The sequence below is a fragment of the Homo sapiens genome, chromosome 3 (assembly GCF_000001405.40).
Source record: "Homo sapiens chromosome 3, GRCh38.p14 Primary Assembly".
NCBI lineage: Eukaryota > Metazoa > Chordata > Mammalia > Primates > Hominidae > Homo > Homo sapiens.
The window spans coordinates 130,266,910-130,288,614 of NC_000003.12; the positions used below are offsets into that span (position 1 = coordinate 130,266,910).

Consider the following 21,705-nt stretch of genomic DNA (forward strand, 5'->3'; position numbering starts at 1 on the left):
CAAACATAAGGCTTACAAATCACAGCAATAACAGTAACAACAGTTGAGCCTCTCAGTTCTTGAGATTTTTTTCATGCAGTTTGACATGGATTGTTTCTATACAGGTTGCCCAGGCACCAGTTTGGTATGTCTGGCTTGGCTGATGATTTGGAAGCACTTGAAGCAACAGGCATTTTTCTAGAAGAGAAGAGAAAAGACATCACAACATCTATAACTCAGCAAGAAGCACTTGAAAATTATGAAAATAACAAATATGACATTGAAGAAAATGAACAAGAAACACCAGCAAAACAAAAAGAAACTAGAAAAGAAATAAATGCAGACACTACCTATGGTAAAAACCAAACTACTTCTTGGTCCTTAAGTTGGATTCACTTTTTTCATTTTTAACTTTTTCTTAAAAAAAATCCTGTGCACTGTGTTAGCATGCAATTTTTTAAAATTCACTTTGCTTACAAATCCACAGGTTCATGTATGCAGCTAAAGAAAATAGTTTAAAAAGAAAGACAAAGGCTAACTTTCACCTGGCTGTCGAACTGGAGCTGGATGAAAGTTATTTCAGGGCGTATTATGAAGGCACACTCTATGAAGTGTCTGCACTACCTTTGCAGAGAAGCAATGAGTTATTGCAGAAGTGGTGAAGATACTCCTGACCTTGAAATGCACCTACTTGGAGACAGGCTCTACATTTTGGATACATCTAAAACAACTGTAGCATCAATTTTGGATTACAGCATGCAGTAATGCAAATGCCAAGTTCCTTTTTTTTTTTTTTTTTTTGAGACAGAGTCTCACTGTCACCCAGGCCGGAATGCAGTGGCATGATCTCGGCTCATTGCAACCTCCGCTTCCTGGGTTTAAGCGATTCTCCTGCCTCAGCCTCCTGAGTAGCTGGGATTACAAGAGCCCGCCACCAAGCCTGGCTAATTTTTATATTTTTAGTAGAGACAGGGTTTCACCATGTTGGCCAGGCTGGTCTTGAACTCCTCACCTCAGGTGATTCTCCTGCCTCGGCCTCCCAAAGTGCTGGGATTACTGGCATGAGCCACTGCACTTGCTGCCAAGTTACTTTTTATATGTGATCAGCAAATTAAGCAGAACACTAAACACATGAGAAAGAGATACAGGAAAACTTCTCTGTGAAGTTCTGGAAACTGATTCAAGATAGCTGAAAGAGTTTCTAGTGAGTGGTGTGGTTAGTCCTGGTTACATTAAAGGAGAGATCATTTATCTGAGGTTTTGAATGTGCCTAGATAATTCTCCATCTGGGGCTACTGGCTAGGTGGCCATGGGAGTTATTCACTCTCTTGGTGACTCAGTTTTCTGCTCTGCAAAGTGGGGATTATATGAGTCCCTACCTCATAGGTTTGAGAATACAACTTGATAATTCATGTGTTTGCCACATAGTATACATCCACACAAGTTAGTTAAGATGCTGATGATACATGCTACCTTTTAGATTTCAAAGCAAACACATGTCCAAAATAAATAACAGAATCAGACAGACATAGGAATACCACCTCCTTAGGCTAGAATATTAAACATAGAATAACTTACCTTGTTGGTTCTTATGTTTTCAGTATAGAATATCCTCAGGTAATCTTACTAAGGTAATGATTTTCAGTCTTGATTGTACACTAGAGTCACCTGGGGATCTTTAAACATTGACCTCAGCCCAAATCAGTCAGAATCTCTGGGTGTAGGACTTACCCGGTGATTCCACTGAACAACCAAGAGTGAGAACTACTGCTTTAAGGCATTCTTTCTCATAAAATCAAGGTGGAAAGGATGGGGGAGAGTTTCCTAGTCAACTAATCCAATCCCATTCACAGACAAAAACTGAGGTTTGAAGGTCCCTGATACTTCTCAGCCGCTCTGTTGTTACGTGGCTCTGGCTGGCCAGTTTCCTTTCAGTTTTCATTCCAAGGTCATTCGAAACCCTCACCACCTCCTCAAGGTCCTTCCTCCATGCCTCTTCCTCTAGCAGATATGCCTCCCTCTTTTTTTATTCTTTTCAAAAGAAATAAAGGTGACCGAGCACAACCTCCTGTAACTTTCTGTATTTCTGCAAGCCTCTCTTCCTGCCCTCCAGTTGGAGAAAAGAACTGGCCCTTCTCTTATTCTGAATCGTCAAGAAAGACCAAAGGGCTCTTCCAGACCTTGTTGACTTGTGCTTCTTGGGATCTGGCCACTGTTGGCCACTACCTTCCTCTTTAAACCCTCTCTTCTCACAGCTTTGGAGACAACATTCTCCTCTTGTTCTTCTATTCTGGCCAGTCCGTTTTTGTGGGCTCTTCTTCCCAGATCCACCTTCACAGGGGGATTCAGGTTTTATGGAATTTATACAATTTGGGGGCCCTCTTTAAGAAAAAGATTTTAAAAAATTATTAAAATTAAGTGAAAAGTGAATATTCATTTAGAAGAGCCTTATGCAAATGATTTGCTGTGAAGCCTAGGCTTTATTAATGTCATGATGAATCTGCTACACCCTTCCCCAAGATTCTTTCTTCAGTCCTCCAAACACTCTGCACACACCACACTACTTAGGTATGCTTTCCCCCCCGCCCCCACAACATCGACTATCCCCTCTGTGCTGGTGACTCTCAAATCCATATCTTCCACTTTAACTCTCTCCTGTGCTATAGCATAGTGTATTCAATTACCCTCCAGATCGTTCCACTGGATTTCCCTGCAGTCACATCAAGCCAGCTTAGTTCAACAAACCCAACTCATTGTCTTTCCCATTCAAATCTCCTTCTCTTCCTTTACCAACTATCTTTATTGGTATGAACCACCAGTGGCCCAGGAATAGAAAGCCAAAACTCAGTATTATTTTTAAAAAATTAATTAATTAGATTTAGGAGTGCAAGTACATGTGGATGTATTGCATATTGGTGAAGTCTGGCCTATTAGAGTACTCATTACCCAAATAGTGTACATTGTACCCAAAAGATAGTATCTCATCCTACACACCCCTGCCCCTGCCCCTGCCCCAGCCCTCCCACCATTTGGAGTCTCCAATGTCTTATTCCACTCTGTATGTCCACATATACCAATTGTTTAGCTCCTACATATAAGTGAGAACATGCAGTTTTTGACTTTCTATTTCTGTATCATTTCACTTAGGATAATATCCTCCAATTCTATCCATGTTGCTGCAAAAGACATGATTTCATTCTTTTTTATGGATGAGTAGTATTCCATGGTATATATACCACGTTTTTAATCAAATTAATTCGTTGATAAGCATTTAGGTTGATTCCATGACTTTGCTATTGTGAATAGTGCTCCTATGAGCATACGGGTGTAGGTGTCGTTTTGATATAATAATTTCTTCTCCTTTGGGCAGATACTCAGAAGTGGAGATGCTGGATTGAAGAGCAGTTCTATTTTTAGTTCTCTGAGAACTCTTCATACTGTTTTCCATAGTGATTGTACTAATTTACATTCCCACCAGTAGCGTTCCCTTTCTCCACGTTCTCACCAACATCTGTTGTTTTTTGACTTTTTAGTAATAGTCATTCTGACTACTCTAAATGCTATCTCGTTGTGGTTTTCATTTGCATTTCTCTGATGATTATTGATGTTGAATATTTTTTCACATTTGTTGGCTGCTTGGATGTCTTCTTTCAAAAAATGCCTGATTGCCCAATATTATTCTAGTTGACCTCTTCTCCCTTGCCTCCTGCTGTCTAACTGGTCTGCTTTCTTCCAATTTGTCCTCCTTCCAGTTCCATTCTAAACAGCTGATTGACATTTCTAAAACACAAATATGGTTGTGTCCCTTCTCCTCTTCTATGGTTCCTCATTGTTTATAAGATAATGTTCAGGTGCCTGTGGAAGGCACATGGGCCTTTACAATTAGACCCCTGCTTTGGTCCTCTGGGGCTTTACTGGCTGCCACTTCCCTGCATATGCCTTTCGTGGCCTTTATGCCCCGCAGTTTATTCCAGATCTCTGTACCATTGCTTACCCTCACCTGACTGTCTATATTTCCTCCACAGTGTCCACGTGGGCTATATCTACTCATCTTTTACTACTCAGCTCAAGTTTCACCTCTCCTTAGAGTTTTTTTCTATGCCCCCAGGTAGTTTTAAATTTTCACAGCCTCCTTGGTGCTCCTGAATCTTAAGACAAATTCTGCCATAGTGCCTGCTACCTTTCATTGCGCCTACCTGTAAAGAATTAAATGAGTTATCTCTCTTCGCAGGTGCCAGGCTGATCTTGGTACATTTTCAAGTTCAGTGTTATATCCAAAGCACACAGACCAATTTTTTGGTTTTCCCCTCCAAGTAGGGCTATAAGACATATATGCCAGGGAATAGAATAAGCTGGAGCAAAATTATAATTTCATTGTAGCTGCTCTTTATACCTGCCAACTCTTTTCTTTTTCTTCACCTTTACCTTTCTTTACTCCTGGATTCCAAGAACTACTGTGAGTAAAATTGTTACTGCCACCGCATAGTTCTTCCAAGAAGGCAAAGGTTAATATTCATGGTAAAAAATAAAGCCAAATATAAGACTGGGGGCTAGCGATAATTGCTTGGGTAAAAATTTGTTGGCCCTCAATGCCTTAACATACTGGTAAAAGAAAAATTAAGACTAGTGGTATTCTGAGTGTTAAGCTACAATGATAATTTAGAGATAATTAGCATAAAGCATGAAGGACTCTTTCACCTATAGCCGTAATGACCAATGTAATAACTGCTAGCCACATTGGCTATTTACATTTAAATGTAAATAATTCAAAATTAAATAACATTAAAATTTCAGTTCCTTGATTGCACTAGCCACATTTCAAATGCTCAACAGCCACATGGGAGTGGTGGCTACTGTATTGGACAGCACAGATTTTCCGTTATTTTAAACATTTCATCGTTATAGAAAGTGCTACTCTAGAAGTCTAATTTAGGAAGAGCAGTCCCTGTTTGATTGTCTCTCAGACCCAAAGCAAGGGTGGAGGTTCTAAAGATGACAGAGTGTCCCTAGGAAAAGTGATGGATATATTTGAATGAATTCTTGGTTTGTCAGTTCAGAATCAGTTGTAACGGCAGAGGTTGGTGCCGGCTGATAACTAACCCGAGTCTATTTGTTGGCTCTAGAGAGTACAGCAAAGAGTTCACCATTGGAGTGTTTTTCTGTTGACAACAACAGGTTTTTGAATAAGTATTTCTCTTACTTCTCCTGGGCCTGTACTGCTTGTTATCTTATATCCTCCAGAGTAGGGGTCATGCAGTGAGCAAATTCAAATATGACTACTCAAAGCATAGGACTATTTCCATGATCAATTTCTTACCGTACTAAGAGCATATCTCATCCCTGTGGGTACAGTACATCTGGTCACCTCTCCTAGAAAACTAGTCTGTGCCGATTATACTATTGGGAGGTTAGCAGATAGTTTCACAGAAACAAAGCATGAATTTTAAGGCTTGTGTTTTTGAAGATAGTATCCTCTTTATTTAAGGGTACATGGAAGGCCTAGGAGGAACTGTGGGGAGGATGGCAGCATTCTGTGCTTCAGGGCCAACCTGGATCAGAAATACTTCTGTGTGATACAAAGGATACCCAAGGAAATCTGTTCTCCCTAGAAGTTGAGGTGGGGAGGGTTATATACCTGGGAAAATCATTGCCTCATGTAAAATTCAGGGAGTCTCAGATCTTGCTTTGTTGTAATGTGTTGATTTCCAATGCTGTTTTTAATTGTTCAGGAACATCATGTTTTTCCTTTAATAGATGTCTTAATTTCTCAGGCAAGAGCCAGGGTACTATAAATAATAAATAAGCTAGATTTCCTTAGGTCATTAGAAGACTGGAGACAAGGGATTGGGATGGTTTGCAAAAGGAGGGAAAGCAGTATAATACACAAGTGAGGAGTGCTCAGTATCAGAAAGATTTATTAATATTCATTCACTTATTCCCTCATGTGTACATTATCTGTGGCATGTCTTCCAGGTACTGTGCAAAGTCATAGCTATAACTATGTTGCACATTTCACATATGTTATATGACACTTTATAACATACTTGTGATATAGAAGTTTTTTAAAAATATTGCTTTTATAGCTGAGGAAATTGAGGCTCTGAGGGGTTAAATTACTTGCTTAAGGTCACAGAACTAGTTGGTGGTGAGGCTGAGATTCATTCCCAGGTCTGTGACTCCAAACCATTGCTCTTTTTCTGTCATGCTCATGCAGGAAATTCAGCTCTGTATTTATTTTGTTGCAGGTCCTTGTTCCATGGATCCAATGGAAGGCGAGTGTCAGGATCACACCCTGAAGTGGCATTACAACAAGGAGGAACGGGTTTGCCAGCAGTTCTGGTGTGGCAGCTGTGGCGGCAATGCCAACCGGTTTGAAACCAAGGAAGAATGTGAGGCTTGGTGTGTCCCAATACAGTAACAGTACAAGCAGAGCCCTGTTACTGTTAAAGGCAGAGCTTTTAATGCTGATGAAATGGAGATTACCAGGGCTGAGGCAGGACCTCACAGCTCAGAAGTGACAGCCCATTCCAACACCTTGGACATCAGATTCCTAAACGTCTGAATGTTTTCACGCCAACAAGGACTTGGGCCAGATGATTTGTGACTTGAGGACTGAATTCTAATAGTTAAAAAAGTAACTGAAAGATATTTAAATGAATTAGAACGGAATGAAAAATAAACTTGAACTTATAATATTATTTTAAAATTTGGGGGTGCTATGTAGCAAAATAAAAATCAGTGTAAGCAGTGAGAAAAACCTAATTCAGAAATGAATCGAAACTTGGTTTGTTTTTTTCACCACCAGAGAATAGGGAAATATTAGTCAAAGAGAGGGCATGGAAGAAGGGACATCTAATGTGAACGAACTTCATACTTACTACTTAATGTAGATAAATAAAGGCATTCTTTATTAAATCATTTGGCATGAGACTGTGTGTGATCCTTGCTCACTGCAATCTGTGCTATACTTTGTGACATTGTGGTTGATGAAGAGACAGCCGTGATTTTTCCATGAGACCAACCCTTTGGCACCCATTATAGTGGCCTCTGTCCTTCAAAACATGGTGACTCAACAATTAAGGCTGACATTATTAATGAAAAGTGAAATGAAAGCTTTACGTTCACCATGGATGAAACATTTTGCAGCAAAGATATTAAGGAAAATCGTGTTTTTTGTGAGATTTTCCTCTGCCTCATGGCTTGATTCTCTGGGCCTCTAACCATGGGCCTGGCTTCCAGACAGAATTGGGAACTGTGTGGAGGAGATCTGTGGGGGCACTGAGGATGCACGGCTTGGGGTCTTTGTAAGATCATGCATTAGTCAGCTGGGGCTGACATAGCAAAATACCACGGGCTTAAACCACAGAAATTTATTTCTGACAGTTCTGGAGGCTAGAAGTTCAAGATCGCAGCACAGAGGGCACTCTTCCTGGCTTGCAAATGACTACCTTCCCGTTGGGTCCTCACATGCCTTTCCTCAGTGCATGCTCATAAAGACAGCAAGAGAGAAAAGACCCAAGCTCTCTGGTGCCTTTTTTTTTTTTTTTTTTTATTTTCATTTGAGACGGGCCTCACTATACCAATATTGCCTTGGCTAGCCTCAATGTCTTAGGCTTAAATGATCTTCCTGCCTCAGTCTCCTGAGTAGCTAGGACTATAGGCATGAGCCACTGCACCTGCCTCTGGTGTCTCTTCTTATAAGCACACCACTCTTATTGGACTAGGGACCATTCGTATGACCTCATTTAACTTTAATTACCTCCTAAGGCCCTAAATACAACTATAGCCACATTAGGCGACCATATGAATTCTGGGGAAACACAAACATTCAGTCCATAACTGATCACAAGCAGCTGGTTTTCCCCCAGGGACACAGGATGGAGTTGCTCTCTGGTAAGTTCCTGGTTCTGTAAGTGTGACTGCTATAATCTGTGTGTTTCTCCACACAGTCTGGTGACATAGCAGGTGGGATGGAATCAGCTTTATACAAAATGTTCAAAGAAGCACATTTTAAATTCTATTTTTATAACAATCATTTTAATATGATCACAAAAGGATGACTGTGTTCATGGTAGCAAATCTATAAGACACAGAAATGCACATGGAAAAAATAAAGATCACCTATAATCTTTTCTCCCAAAGGTAACCGTTTTGATATAATCCAGGCTTTTTCTAATGAATGAATATACTATCTTCTTTTTCTTCCTTAACACAGTACAAGCAACTGATTTTTTGACGGGAATTAAATGGCAGATGCTCCATCCTGCCACAGAGCTGCTCATCATATGAATGGGTATATGCATTTCTCTGTTTTAGGCATAACTTCAGCTGCCTGAGCATAAAATGGCCAAAGTGATCTATCCTGAGGATGGTATTTGATTTGAACTGTGATTTATTTTCTATTTCTTATTCCCATTCTTCCCTTCCTATGTCCAGGAGTTGGGAACACCAAGGCAAAGTTTCAATAATAAGAAGATCATTGGGAAGAAACATTCAAGTGTGTTGATTGTCCCCACTTGTTAACTTAAGAAAAAACATAATTTATAAATTTAGAAGAGAAGAGGCTTTAATTCTTATAAAAGGTTACAGCCTGCAAGGTGGTTGTCCCACAGGCTGGGAAGCCTGCCTCTAGCCAAGACCAGAGACAGGCGTTTGGAAGGAGGAGGGGTTGGGGTAGGAGTTTTATGCTGAAAAGGTTGGCTAAACATACATGTTCAACAAGTTACAGGAGGAGCTGAGTATTCAAGAAAGTGGTCCTGACACAGGCATGTTAGATAAACATACATGTAACTTATGACCGATGTTCATTTTGAAATGAATAGATGAAATGTATTATACCTAGCCCCTATGTCAAAAGATCTTTTCAGGACATGAAGGTACACAGGTGTGCAGTCTCTGTAAACCAGCAAGAACCAGTCCATGGCTGGTGGTCTTCTCATCAGGAGAAAGTTACTGAATTCAGCCTCTTGTCCAGTCAAAGCTGTTTCTGGTCGGTGGAACAGGGGTTCAGTGAATCAGCATCTGTGAGCTGGATGAGTTGTAATTGTTTTAATACTGTTTATCTGGAGGCCAGTGCTTGTTTAGCTGCTGGAGAAAAAGAGAAACCTTGTGGCAGTTAGAACATAGTTGATTCTTTAAGTGCAGGAGTGTGTGACTTAACCCTTTGCCTGGTATGGTCTTAGGTCCTGTTTATAATTTGGTATCTTATTGCCATGAAAAGTCTCCTCTGTCAGTCTTATGATCCCTATTTTAACATTAATGCTGGTCAGTTGTGTCTAAACTCTAAAAGGAGGAGGTATAACCAGGCATGTCTGACTTTCCATCCCGTCATGGCTGGGAATACAGTTTTAAGGTATTTCTGGGGTTCCCTTTGCCAAGAGAGAGTCCATTCAGCCCGTAGGAGCTTAGGATTTTAAAGTTTACACATCCTTGGAACATTCATGAGATCCAACTGCAGTTCTCCCTGTGTTTACTAGGTGGCGGTATAACCCTTTCACGGAGGTCCTCTGACTCTCAACATAAACCTTACACTCCATAAATTCCGAGGTAGCAACAATATAGCCAAGGGCAGAAACAACTGTCTATTGTTTCAATATTCATACCCACTCTTACTGTATACACAGTTTATAAAGCACTTTCCCATGTTATGTCATGTATTTGCCCAGCCCCACCACTAAATCTGGGATGTTGGCATTGTTCATCCCCTTTTTGGGATAAACTATCTTACAGAAGTGATGTGGCTTGGCTCAGACCCGTAACAGAAACTGGCCTTGAACTCCTTTTTATCCCGAGACCAGGGCTCCTTGAGCTATACTGCATTTGTTCCAAACCGTTAGCTGCCACCAAAGAATTCTGAAAGTCAGAGCCACAGGGGTGGGAGGATGGGCTTGATTTCTGCCTCAGATTCCCTGCTCTTCCATCTGCTGCCCCCACCCCCACCCCCACCCCACCCCACCCTACCCCACCCCACCCCTGTGGTTCTGGCCTGGGTGGAAGTAGGAGTGGACTGAAAGAGAAGTTGAACTGCAGTGCAGGTCAGTTGTGATGGCAGCCTCGGCCAACCCCACAGGGATCTCTGGACCTAAGTGGGCTTGTGTGAGTTACCCCAGTGTGGGCTAACTTGGCTGGGTCTGTATCCCCTGCCTCCATCACCCAGAAGGGCATACCTGTGGACGTGGCAGCTCTGAAACTGTGGCAGGCTCTAAAGTCGACCAGCTGAAGCCTTTCTGCTCACAGCACTCCTAGCAGGTGGGGCAACAAGTTCTTCCTTGAAGCAGGAACTGCAGAGCACAAACCACACTCATCATAGTTCCTTTACCTGGAATGTCTTTTTGCATTGTTTTCAAATTTCCCTAGCTTCCAAAATCCAACAGGACACAACGAAAATCATTTGTGCAAGTTCTCAGAGATCTAGCCTTTGCATTCATCTCTAGCCTCACCTATGGTGGCGGTTGTTCTGACCCTCCAACTTTTCATTTGAGCAATACCATTTCCTGGAAACGCCATATTCCATTCACCTATGCTGTTGCCCTTGGTGATACTTTTGTGGGAAATGCCTTTATTTAATTTATTTACAAATATTTAATAGGCATCTATTATGTACCATATCCATTATCTGTGCCAAAACCCAGCTCAGCTCTCATTGCCTCTCAGGAAAACATCTCCCATTGCCCCCTTTCAAGAAAGAATTAATCAGTAGCTCCTATAGGCTGCCTTGTATACCCTTATCTTTTTGCCCTTTTCCCTCCATTTTACACCATTTGCCAATTAGTCTCCTTATTAGGCCATGAGCCTCTTCATCTTGGAATCCCCTCCCCAGGACAGGGCCTGACACTTCTCCCTTTAGTTCTGATATTTAAACTCCCTGCCAGTTTTCAGACTGTTAGAAATGCCCCACAGCCACCCCAACAGTTGGTTGCCTTCTATATCTCTTGCTCTAGAACAACTTTTTGCTTAGTAATTCTGCATTTATTTTTGTTCTGCATTTGTTTCAGACACCAGGGCATCTGCCTCCATCAGTCAATTGTAAAAAGGTTCATGTGTTTTTAAATTCCTCCTTGGATCTGTTATTTCATTAATTATAACCTTGCACTGCTTTGGGGATATTAATTTATCTGATGAAAGAATTGAGACCCAGAAAGTTCAAGTGGCATCAAATCTTACACCATGATTCAATTGGTAGCCTAAAATTAGAATTAAAATGTGTTTTGAACTGATTTGGCATCTGCTTGGTTCGCTCTGCAAAGTTTAAGGGTTTTAATCATTACGTGAATTGACTGCTTTGCACTTTTAAACATGTAGTGGATTTCACTGATCCTAGAAAAGTGGAGGGTTTGCGATTGGTAGGCTCAGAACTTGGTTCCCAGCCATGTATCAAAATGTATAAATGCATACAGGGATTTTCCCCAAGCTCTCCTGAGTGGAGATCATGCTGACTGTGTACTATTTATGGTTCTTCCTTTAATTTCTGACCTCTTGTGATCTCATGGTGGATTCTTCGTTTAACTTTTGAATAATCTCAAAGGTATATTTGTAATACAGCTGGAGAGTCAATGTTGGGATTACGGTGTTATGGGAAATACCAAGACTGGGGCATGTGAATTCAGCATCTGGTTCCCTCCGCAGCTTTCCTGGTGACTTCATAGAAGATACTCTATTTTTCTGGGCTTTGGTCTTTTCTGTCTGAGGAGACTGGAGAGGAGAGAAACATTACTTGCCCCTTTATCGTCTCTCTAAGTTCTGCAAACAAAAGCATTCCTTCTTTAGCTAATCTCTTAGGAAGCTAAAAGATGCAAGCCCAGCAGAGGACAGGAGAACCACCCAGCTGAACCCAACCCAAACTTATGACCCACAGAATACTGAGCTAAATAAATGGCTGTTGTTTTAAAACACTAAGTTTTGGGGTAATTATTAATTTCAAAAAGTTGTGACTGGGCTTGCTCATGTGTCTAGTCAGCTACCAGTCTGTTGGTCAGTTGGCTGGCCTAGGATCAATTCCTAATGATAAAAAAAAATAAAAATTGTATATATGTATTCATGTAATAATATAGCCTCAAAATACTTAAAACACCAATGAAATTAGATTAGAAAAAGCATTTAGAAGCAGAATAATTGGAAAGGAAGACATAATATAGTTTCTATTCATACACAATATGAATACATATCTAGAAAAGTAAAACATTCTAAGAGAACAGCAATGTTACAGAAAGAGTCTTCTCCATCAGCCTAGAGCCTGCGGTGATCATTCAACAGCTGACCATGATGGACACAAAATATGATTGAGAAAGAAACCTTTGTTTTTGTAATCCACCAAAATTAGGGGGTTGTTACTGAAGCATTTCCAGGCCTGTCCCCAGAGATACAGGTATAGAGAAATGGGAACTCTCAAACATGGCTTTTGGAAGCAAATATTATAAAATGTTTTGGCGTTTTCTAGTAAAATTAAAAATTTAAATACTATGAACCAGCAATTTTACTTGTAAGCATATTCCCTGAAAACTCATTTGCTTGATGACCAAGATAAAACCACATTCATGAATAATGTTCACAGCAGCATTTTTAAAAAAAAAACCCAAGTTGTAAACAACCCACGTGTTCATTAAGAGTGAAATATGTAGGCTGGGTGTGGTGGCTCATGCCTGTAATCCCAGCACTTTGGGAGGCCAAGGTGGGCAGATCACTTGTGGTCAGGAGTTTGGACCAGCCTTGACAATATGGTGAAACCCCATCTCTACTAAAAATACAAAACTTAGCCGGGCATGTTGGCGGGTGCCTGTAATCCCTGCTACTTGGGAGGCTGAGGCAAGAGAATCACTTGAACCTGGGAGGTGGAGGTTGCAGTGTGCTGAGATTGTGCACTGCATTCTAGCCTGGGTGACAGAGTGAGACCTTGTCTCAAAAAATGGAAAAAAAAAAAAAGAGTGAAATGTGTGAATATGCTGTAGTACATTAAAATAAGGTGTACAACAATGAAAATGAATGAATGAAATTGAATTAAGATTAAGCCACATTGACTAAATCTTAAAAGCATATATTTGAGAAAGACACAGAAGTATGCATACAGTAGGATTTCATTTATCTAAGCTCCAAAATAAGGCAAAATTAAAATTATATTGTTATCCTTTATGTGGTAAAACTAGAAAAAAAAATCCAAATATGTGGTCACAGTTGAAGTGAGGACAGAAACATGGTAGACGCCGTGATGTGTTGCCTACATCCCGCTTCAGGAATGAAGAATTTGTTCTTCAGCTGCTGTGAGTGCTGCTGGAAGGTGACTCTCAGAGGTCAGCCCTCATTGAGGATTTCCTCAGAGGAAGAGAAATTTACCTTCCATGGGCAGATGCATCCAGTGACTGGTCAACACTGAGTTATAAAATCCCAGCCCAACAACTTGGGATAACTCTGCAGGCCATCCCACAGCTGCTTATGGGGTTGACTGAGGCCTTCCACTGGACTGTACCACAGCCCAACTTCTCTCGCTGCCTAATTTTGCTCTTTTCTTCATTCCACAGGTGTTGATTTTAAAGACACTCCCATATAAATGTCCTACATGCTCGTCTCTGTTTCAGAGACTGTTTTCTGGGGACTCCAGTCTGTAATCCTCTTGTGGAGGGAGGTGGCTAGGACCAGGAAGGAAAACACGAATGATAAGAATGTTCTATTCTTCTGTCGAAGTTGTATTTTCACAGGAGTTCACTTTGTATGTATTAATCAACGTGTATATTTATATTTTATGCTGTTGATTTATGTTTCATGCATCATAGTAATCCAGAAATTCCTCAGAAACACAAATCCAGGACAAGTGAGCTGATGTCACCCTCGTATTACCCCTGATTCAGGAAAATAAAACATATTCTTTTAAGATATGTGTCAGCCTGAGTGAATCTCCTTTTTTTGGAAGGGGCAGGGGGCTCTTCATTATGCATCTATGAGTGGACACATTTTAAAAGCATATTTTTTCATTATTCAGAATGTAGCAATTTTGTCAGAATTCCTTCTGTCAGGAAAAGAAAATTCCAGACTGGTTCCTGGTCTTGCCTTCTTAATCATTTTCCTCAGGGAAAACTGAAAAGTGCTCTCAGAATGTTGGTCTCATTTTAATCCCGTGGTCCTTTGGACATAATTTTGTTTTGATTCAAAACTGTACAGGGGCTTAAAGAGAAACTTATAAGTGTAGATGTAAGAAGTGATATATAGCTATTCTGTCAATATATATTTACTAAGCACCTACTATGTGCTAAGAACTCTTCTAGTAGCTCAGGAAATGGCAGTGAAGAGTAACAGTAATAAAAAAAAACAAACCCTGCCCTCATGGAGTTTACATATTAAGAGCACAGCTGGGGATCTTAGAGATAGTACCACAGTAAATAAGTAAATTATCCAGTGTGTTATAAGGTGAAAGCACTATGAAATAAAAATGAAAGTTTAGCAAGGTAAGGGTACCTGGAGTGCCAGCGGGGAGGTTTGGGCAAGTATTAAGAAGATGGCCAGGGCTTGCCAATGAGGGGCTGACACTTGAGCAAAGATTTGAAGGAGGCAAAGGAAAAGCTTGTCCTTGAAAGGCTATGTAGATATCAGGGACAAGGTCATTCCAAGCAGAGGCAACAGCTAACACAAAGAAAGGCTGTGGCCAGGCATGGTGGCTCACGCCTGTAAACCCAGCACTTTAGGAGGTCGAGGTGGGCAGATCACGAGGTCAGGAGTTCGAGACCAGCCTGGCCAACATGGTGAAACCCTGTCTCTACTAAAAGTACAAAAGTTAGCTGGCCATAGTGGTGGGCACCTGTAATCCCAGCTACCCAGGAGGCTGAGACAGGAGAATTGCTTGAACCTGGGAGGCAGATGTTGCAGTGAGCCAAGAATGTATCATTGCACTCCAGCCTGGGCAACAAGAGTGAGAGTCCATCTCAAAAAAAAAAAAAAAAAAAAAAAAGAAAAAGAAAAAAGCTGCAAGGTGGAAATGTACCTGGTTTGTTTGAGGAACAGCAATGATGATGCCAGTATGCATGAAGCGGTATGAAAAAGTGAGTCAAAGAAATGAAGTTAAAGAGGAATTGAGGAGGAGAATCATATTGCATATGGCCTTATAAAGGATTATGTTTAAGTTATCTATTGCTATGTAACAAATTATTCCAAACTTTATGGCTTAACTCAATGAAAACACTTTGTTCACTAATCTGTGATTTGGGCACAGCTCAGTGGGAAAGTATATCTCTACTTTCCTCAGCATCCGTGAGTATAGCTTGAAGGCTGGGGCTGGTATCATCCCTAAGGCTTCCTCACATGTCTGGTGGTTGATGTTGGTTGGGACTTCAGCTGGGGCTGTGGCCAGACCACCTATATGTAAACTTTCCATGTGGTCTGGGTTTCCTCACAATATGGTAGTTGAATTCCATGAGCCTCTAGAGAGAGACAGAGCCAGCTTTTGAAGTCATGCCCCGTCACTTCCATCCCATTCTAGTCATTAGAAATGAGTCACTGGTCGCTGAGGCTGGTCCCTAAGCAAGGTGAGGGAGATTCAGCTCTACCTTGAAGTGTGAGGAGTATCCCAAAGTTTGCAGATATGTTTTAAAACTACATTTTAAAAAGTTCTCCAGATTTTATTTTGAGTAAAGTCCATTGCAGGGTTTTGATAGAGGAGTGAGATCATTTGATTCATGTTTTAAAAGTATTACTCTGCTGTAGTGTTGTCAATAGAATATAGGCCTGCAAAGGTGGCAGTGGGGAGATGAATTAAGATGCAAGGGATAATGATGGCTTGGATATCATGGGTAAGAAATGGTGATATTTTAGATATATTTTGAACTTAGAGCCAATATTGACAGATTGAATGTGGGATATGAAAGAAAAACAAGAGTCAACGATGCCAGAAAGGCTTTTAGCACAATCAGCTTAAAGGATGAAGATGCTGTCAACTGAAATGTGGGACAGTCGTGAGTGGAGCAGGTTTGACGAGTTGTTAAAGACCAAGAGATCAGCTTTGGAAATGTTGAGCTTGAGACAGCAATTGGACATGCGGCTGGGGATGTTGAGTAAGCAGCTGGATATGTGAGTCTGGAACTTAGAAAAAGGCTGGGGCTGGAAATATGTATTTTAAAGTCATTAGACTATAGATACTATTTAAAGTTCTGAGATTGGATAAGATTCCCAAGTGAACGAATGCAGAGAGAAAAGAGAAGAGGACAGAGGACTGATTCCTGGAGCACTCTAGCATTTAGAGGAGAAGCCAGGGAAAAGAGGAGAAACCAGGGAAAGAGACCAAGACAAAGGGACCAGAGCACTAGGAGGAAAATCAAGATATTGTGATGTCCTTCCTGGAAGCGCCGAGAGAAGAAAGTGCACTGAGGAGGAAGAAGTCTTGGCAAGCCTGTTTTTATTATAGTTCTTTTATTATGAGTATTGTAATCAACTTTTTAGCTTTGGGGGGTGTTATTTTGGCTTCTTTTTCTATAAACTTTATATTTATATCTTTTAAGTCAAATTTTCTACTGAGTTGGTTATCTTTTTCTTACTGATTTTAGGATCTCTTTGCAAATAAAGAAAATTATCTGTCGTATGTGCTACTGATATTTTTTACAGTTTGTCATTAGTATTTAGACATGGTTTAACATATGTGTATATTATATAAAATATATACTGTAGTACTCTATATACATATAGTACTCTGTCTCTCTGTCTATATATATATATCTTTAAAGTAATAAAATTACATGAATTATATTTGCAACTATCACTTGCCTTAACAGCAAGAGCGCCCTCCGATCCACATTCTATTCCAGGAATCTTCAAAGTTGGCTGTGGGAGGAGGATCTTTCGGCTGATGGGATGGCTGACAAACAGAACAAACTCTGTTTCTCGGGCTTTGTCTTCCTTTCTTACTGACTCTTTTACTCACTGCCACCACCTTGTCTCCTTGGGTTTTAACCATCCCAACCCTACTCCACTATAAAGTTTAGAAAGCTGAAAGCTGAATTTCCCAGACTCCCTTGTAGCTACGGGGGCCTTGTGACTGAGTTATGGCTAATGAAAAGCAGGTGGGAGACTGCTGGTGCTGTATTTCCATTTTCTTGCCTGTTTTTTAACCTACAATATAGACACGAGCCTGGAGATCCAGGAAGCTTCACTAAGGATGGCAGAAAGATGGAAAGAGTCTAGAGTCTTGAGGGCATAGACTTTCAATCTACCTGCCTTGGTCTGCCTGTCCCAGACTTCTTGTCATGTAAGACAAATTACTTGTTTGGGCCATTGTTTATCAAGTTTTCTGGAAACAGCAACCCAACAGTACCCTAACTGATACGTAGGCATTCAAAGCTCCTCCTTTAAATCCCTTGCTCAATTGTAGAAAGGCCCTTCCTCCCCTGTGCTTTAGTCAAGATTCTTTTGGAAGTGACAGAAGTGAAACTCAAAACAGTTAGGGCAATAAAAATTTGTTGGCTCGTGCATCCTTCTTAGGAAATGTATACAGTTGTGCTTCTGGAACGAGAAACTCAAATACTGACTAAACTCTATATTTCTATGTTTAATTCTCTTTCTCTCTGTGGGTCAGTTTCAGTTTTTCAGCCCAGATGTTTCTAGGAGTCTTGAACCACCATCGTGACAGTTCCTTGGCCACTTCTACCCAGCTAAGCCACCAGAAAATAAGGATCAGAGGGCTGGGGACTTTCTCACTCTCAGGTCCCCTCCACCTGGTGGATGACATCCAAAATCTGCCACTAAGAAATCTCTTCTTTGACACTTTGAACAATCAAAATTAGAGTCTCCCCTGGATGCTACCTTGGTAATCCCCTCTCAGTCCTGATTTTCTGTCAGAAAGACTTCCACTCTTCAGTTACACCTATAAGAGTGTAGCTTTTATCTTCAAATATTATGAGCACATGTTAGAAATATATAAGTATTCCTACAAATGTAACTATATATTTAGGTATGAGGAAAAGAGAAGAGGAGGTTATTTTCTCATGGGTGTCACCCCCACCGCCCCTGTTCCAAATTATGTGAGAATGTACCTTTAAAAGGAAAACCACAAAACTCAAACCAATTGTCATAAATTAATTAAAGTTCAAGAGAACTCGCAAGAGTTATGTAAGTCATAATGTGATTGGATTCAGGTTAGGGAAAGAATGGTTGAATTTCAAGAACTTCTCGGATTTCTCCATCTTTCCTACATACAGAATGATGGCAAAGAAGGAAAACAGAAAGGAATGTTACACTACAAATCACCATAACTTATGAAATAAATACATTTATGCAAAAGGAGATGGTAGAGGCCTTCCAGTTAAGTATTGCAGAATCAAGATAAGCCAACTTCATTCTCCCTTCTGAAACAACAAAAAGAGCAGAGACCACATGAGAAGAAAATCTCAACCCACAATCAATGAAGAATAGCTGCCAAATGCAGTGAAATTTAGACCATTCTCTTTTAAATTGCAATTGTTTATCCTCTACCACTCCTGATTCCTCCTTTCTGCACTTCTCCCCAATATATTTATCAATTTTTATAATTTATGGTATTATTTTTTATAGTCTCTCCCCCTCTCCTTGCTCCCAACAAGGCAAATTCAGCAAGGGCAGAGATATTTTTTCTTTTGTTTATTGATGCATTTTGAAGGCTTAGAACAGTACCTGCAATGTGGTGTTCACTCAACACATATTTTTTGAATAAATGAAGTTACTTCTTCAGACTCCACCACTGCATAGAATTCTCCATGTGTAGGTGGTTAATGAGGGTACAAACAACCTCTGATCTTGGAACAGATGGCTTACTGGAATATCCCTGAGCCTCACTTAATATTAAAAAGCAGTAAGAAAGTTCAGATGTAAAGAGTAGCAGAGATGCCATCTCATGAGAGTCAAGCTGTGGTAGGGTAGAGGAGAAATGTTGTGGGGCAAGGTCATTTGAAGAGGATTAAGCACAAAGTCACTACATGAAGAATCTGGGATATTGGCCTCATGGAGTCCCATGTCTAACTCCAAAAGACAGAGCTTCAGAGTAGAAAGTTGGTGGGAGAATATTTTGAGGCAATAGATCTAGACCCTATTTGCCAGCTGGGCCAGGTCACCTAGACTGATGTCTGTTACCATACACTATTCTTCAGCAAGCAGCTGACCAAGAAAAACTAGCTCCCATTAAAATATAAACAATAATTTAAAAATCCAGCCAGAAACTATGATAAAAATATTAAAAGATAAAAATGAAGAAACTCACTATAACAAGAACACCAAAGTAATTATGTTACAAAGCATAAGAAAATATTGAACACTTTCCTTGAATTAAAATAAGATACATTAAAAGAAATATGTCTCTTTGCACCAAGAGCTCAAAGAATACAGACAAGTGTACGAATAAAATAATAACAAAAAAATTCTAGAAAGGGATTTTTAAAATGAGCTGGAAGAGCCAGGAGAAAAAAAATTAGAGGAGAGACTGAAGCCATTATATAAAAGATAGCCACGCTAGAAATATCAATAAAAGGAGAAAAGGTAGTACCAAAAATACAGTTAGGAATATTGAGGATAGGTTTCAGAAAAATGAGCAAAATAAAATGGAAAAGCAAAAGAGCATTTGAAAGGATTACAGAGAAAATAATAGAAAAATAAAAAGGATTTTATTTATACCTTATTAGTATCCTTGAATAAGAGTAAAGAACAGAGAAAGTCAAATTGTCCTTCTTTGCAGATGAAATAATCTTATATACAGAAAAATTAAAGATGCCACAAAAAGCCCTTAGGACTGATTAATGAATTCAGTAAAGTTGCAGGATACAAAATCACTAGCATTTCTATACACCAATAATGAACTAGCTGAAAAAGAAGTCAAGAAAGCAATTCCATTTACATACCTACAAAAAACCCGAAGTACCCAAGAATAAATTTAATCAATTTATTGATTAAAATAAATCAATTTTACAGCCGGTAATCCCAGCACTTTGGGAGGCCAAGTGGGGTGCATCATTAAGGTCAGGAGTTCGAGACCAGCCTGGCCAACATTGTGAAACCCCATCTCTACTAAAACTACAAAATTAGCCAAGCATGGTGGCGGCACTACTTGGGAGGCTAAGGCAGGAGAATTGCTTGACCCTGAGAGGCGGAGGTTGCAGTGAGCCGAGATTGTGTCACTGAACTCCAGCCTGAGCAGCAGAGCGAGACTCGTTTATCCCCCACCCCCCAAAAAGGTGAAAGACCTCTACAATGAAAACTACAAAACACTAATAAATGATGCTGGTTTCTTCTGGTTTTCAGTTTCTTTTTGGTTTTGTTTTGGGGATTCCCCTCACTTTCTTTAAACTCAGGTATAGAATTAAAAGACTGTTAGTGAATTTCACCCAATATTTCTAGATACTTTTTAGTGAGAGGTTTTTCCCTTCAGTATATCTAGCACGTAATATTGATAGAAATGGAAATCTGCCACATAGTATTTCTTTTCTCTGTTTAAAATTTAACTTTAATTTTTAATAAGGCTTTCCATGTACATAGATTAAAGAGTCAATTGATTCTACTAAGGTTACTATAGAAGATAAAATTTTCTTGCCTCTTGCCTCCCCAGTTCATGCGCTCTAAAGACAACCACACTTAACTCTTTCGTTTTTGTATAATATTCTCATGCATCTCTTTCTTGCTTTTCTAGTTTTAGATATTCTCTATAGAATTTCTTTAAAGGCTGTCTTAACCACCTTTGCATTTCCCTTATCATCCTCCAAATAATTATATCTATTTAAACGAGATCAATGTTTACTGTCTATATTACTATGACTATGCAAATATTGTTCCTAACAGAGCCATGTTTTATACTTTGTGTGCAATTTATTGTTTTCTTAGGAGTATCGGTCACTTCTATTTCTTGTTTTGTTTGACTGTCATTTATACATGCATCAACATTTCATTGCCAAATTTTGTAGGAAGTGTAACTCTCCTTTCACTTTATTAAATACATGAGTTATTCTATCAGGTTTGTCTCTCTTCCATCTCTCCTGAAGCCTTTCTGCTCTACTCGGGACTGCTCTTGCTGTATAGCTCTCTCCCTTCACCATCATACTGGGAATACTTTGGCTCTGTCTTATGTTGATGATCTGTTTTCTGGATTCCATGGCTTTCTATTTGTTAGTTTCTTCGTGTGTTTTAATGGAATACATGCTTCAGCAGATTTTTTTGGGACTATATTAACATCTAATGGCTTTATTTATGTGTTACCTATTATAATAGCATTTCTATTTCCAGGAAGTGGTCTTATTTTCTTAATAATGGCTTTACTGAGACATAACTAACATGCCATATAATTCAGCTATTTAAAGTCTACAACTCAATAGTTTTCAGTACATTCACAGAGTTGTGCAACCATCACCACAATCAATTTTTCAACATTTAAATCACAATCACCCAACCAAAAAAATCTGTACCCATTAGCAGCCACTCACCATTTCATTCCAACTTCCCCACCCTTCTACCTTGGGTAACCATAAATCTACTCTCTGACTTGATAGTATGTGTGGTGCTTTGTGAATGGTTTCTTTCACTTAGAATAATGTTTTCAAGATTCATCTGATTAAAATACGTATCAGTATTTTATTACTTTTTACTGCTGAAGAATATTCCATTGAAAGAGCATTATATTTTGTCAGTTTCCCAGTTGATGGACATATGGATTATTTCCACTTCTTGGATATTATGAATAATGTTGTTATGAACATTCATGAAAAGGTTTTTGTGTGGGACATATGTTTATTTTTATTGGGT

At 39.7% G+C, this 21,705-nt stretch overlaps 1 long non-coding RNA gene and 1 pseudogene across 2 annotated transcripts in view; one reads left to right on the forward strand and one right to left on the reverse strand.

The window, feature by feature from the left end:
• The window catches only part of COL6A4P2 (collagen type VI alpha 4 pseudogene 2), a 60,987-nt pseudogene extending 54,090 nt beyond the window's left edge, over positions 1–6,897 (forward strand). Inside the window, exon 23 of the transcript NR_027898.1 lies at positions 105–6,897. The product of NR_027898.1 is annotated as a collagen type VI alpha 4 pseudogene 2 (transcript). The remainder of the gene's footprint in view (positions 1–104) is intronic.
• A 1,626-nt stretch (positions 6,898–8,523) lies between these two features.
• Positions 8,524–9,794, reverse strand: LOC105374106 (uncharacterized). The gene is made up of 2 exons (XR_924479.3): positions 9,707–9,794; positions 8,524–9,066 (listed from the first exon to the last, which is right to left on the reverse strand). It is a non-coding gene; the product is annotated as an uncharacterized LOC105374106 (long non-coding RNA).
• Positions 9,795–21,705: the final 11,911 nt, after the last annotated feature.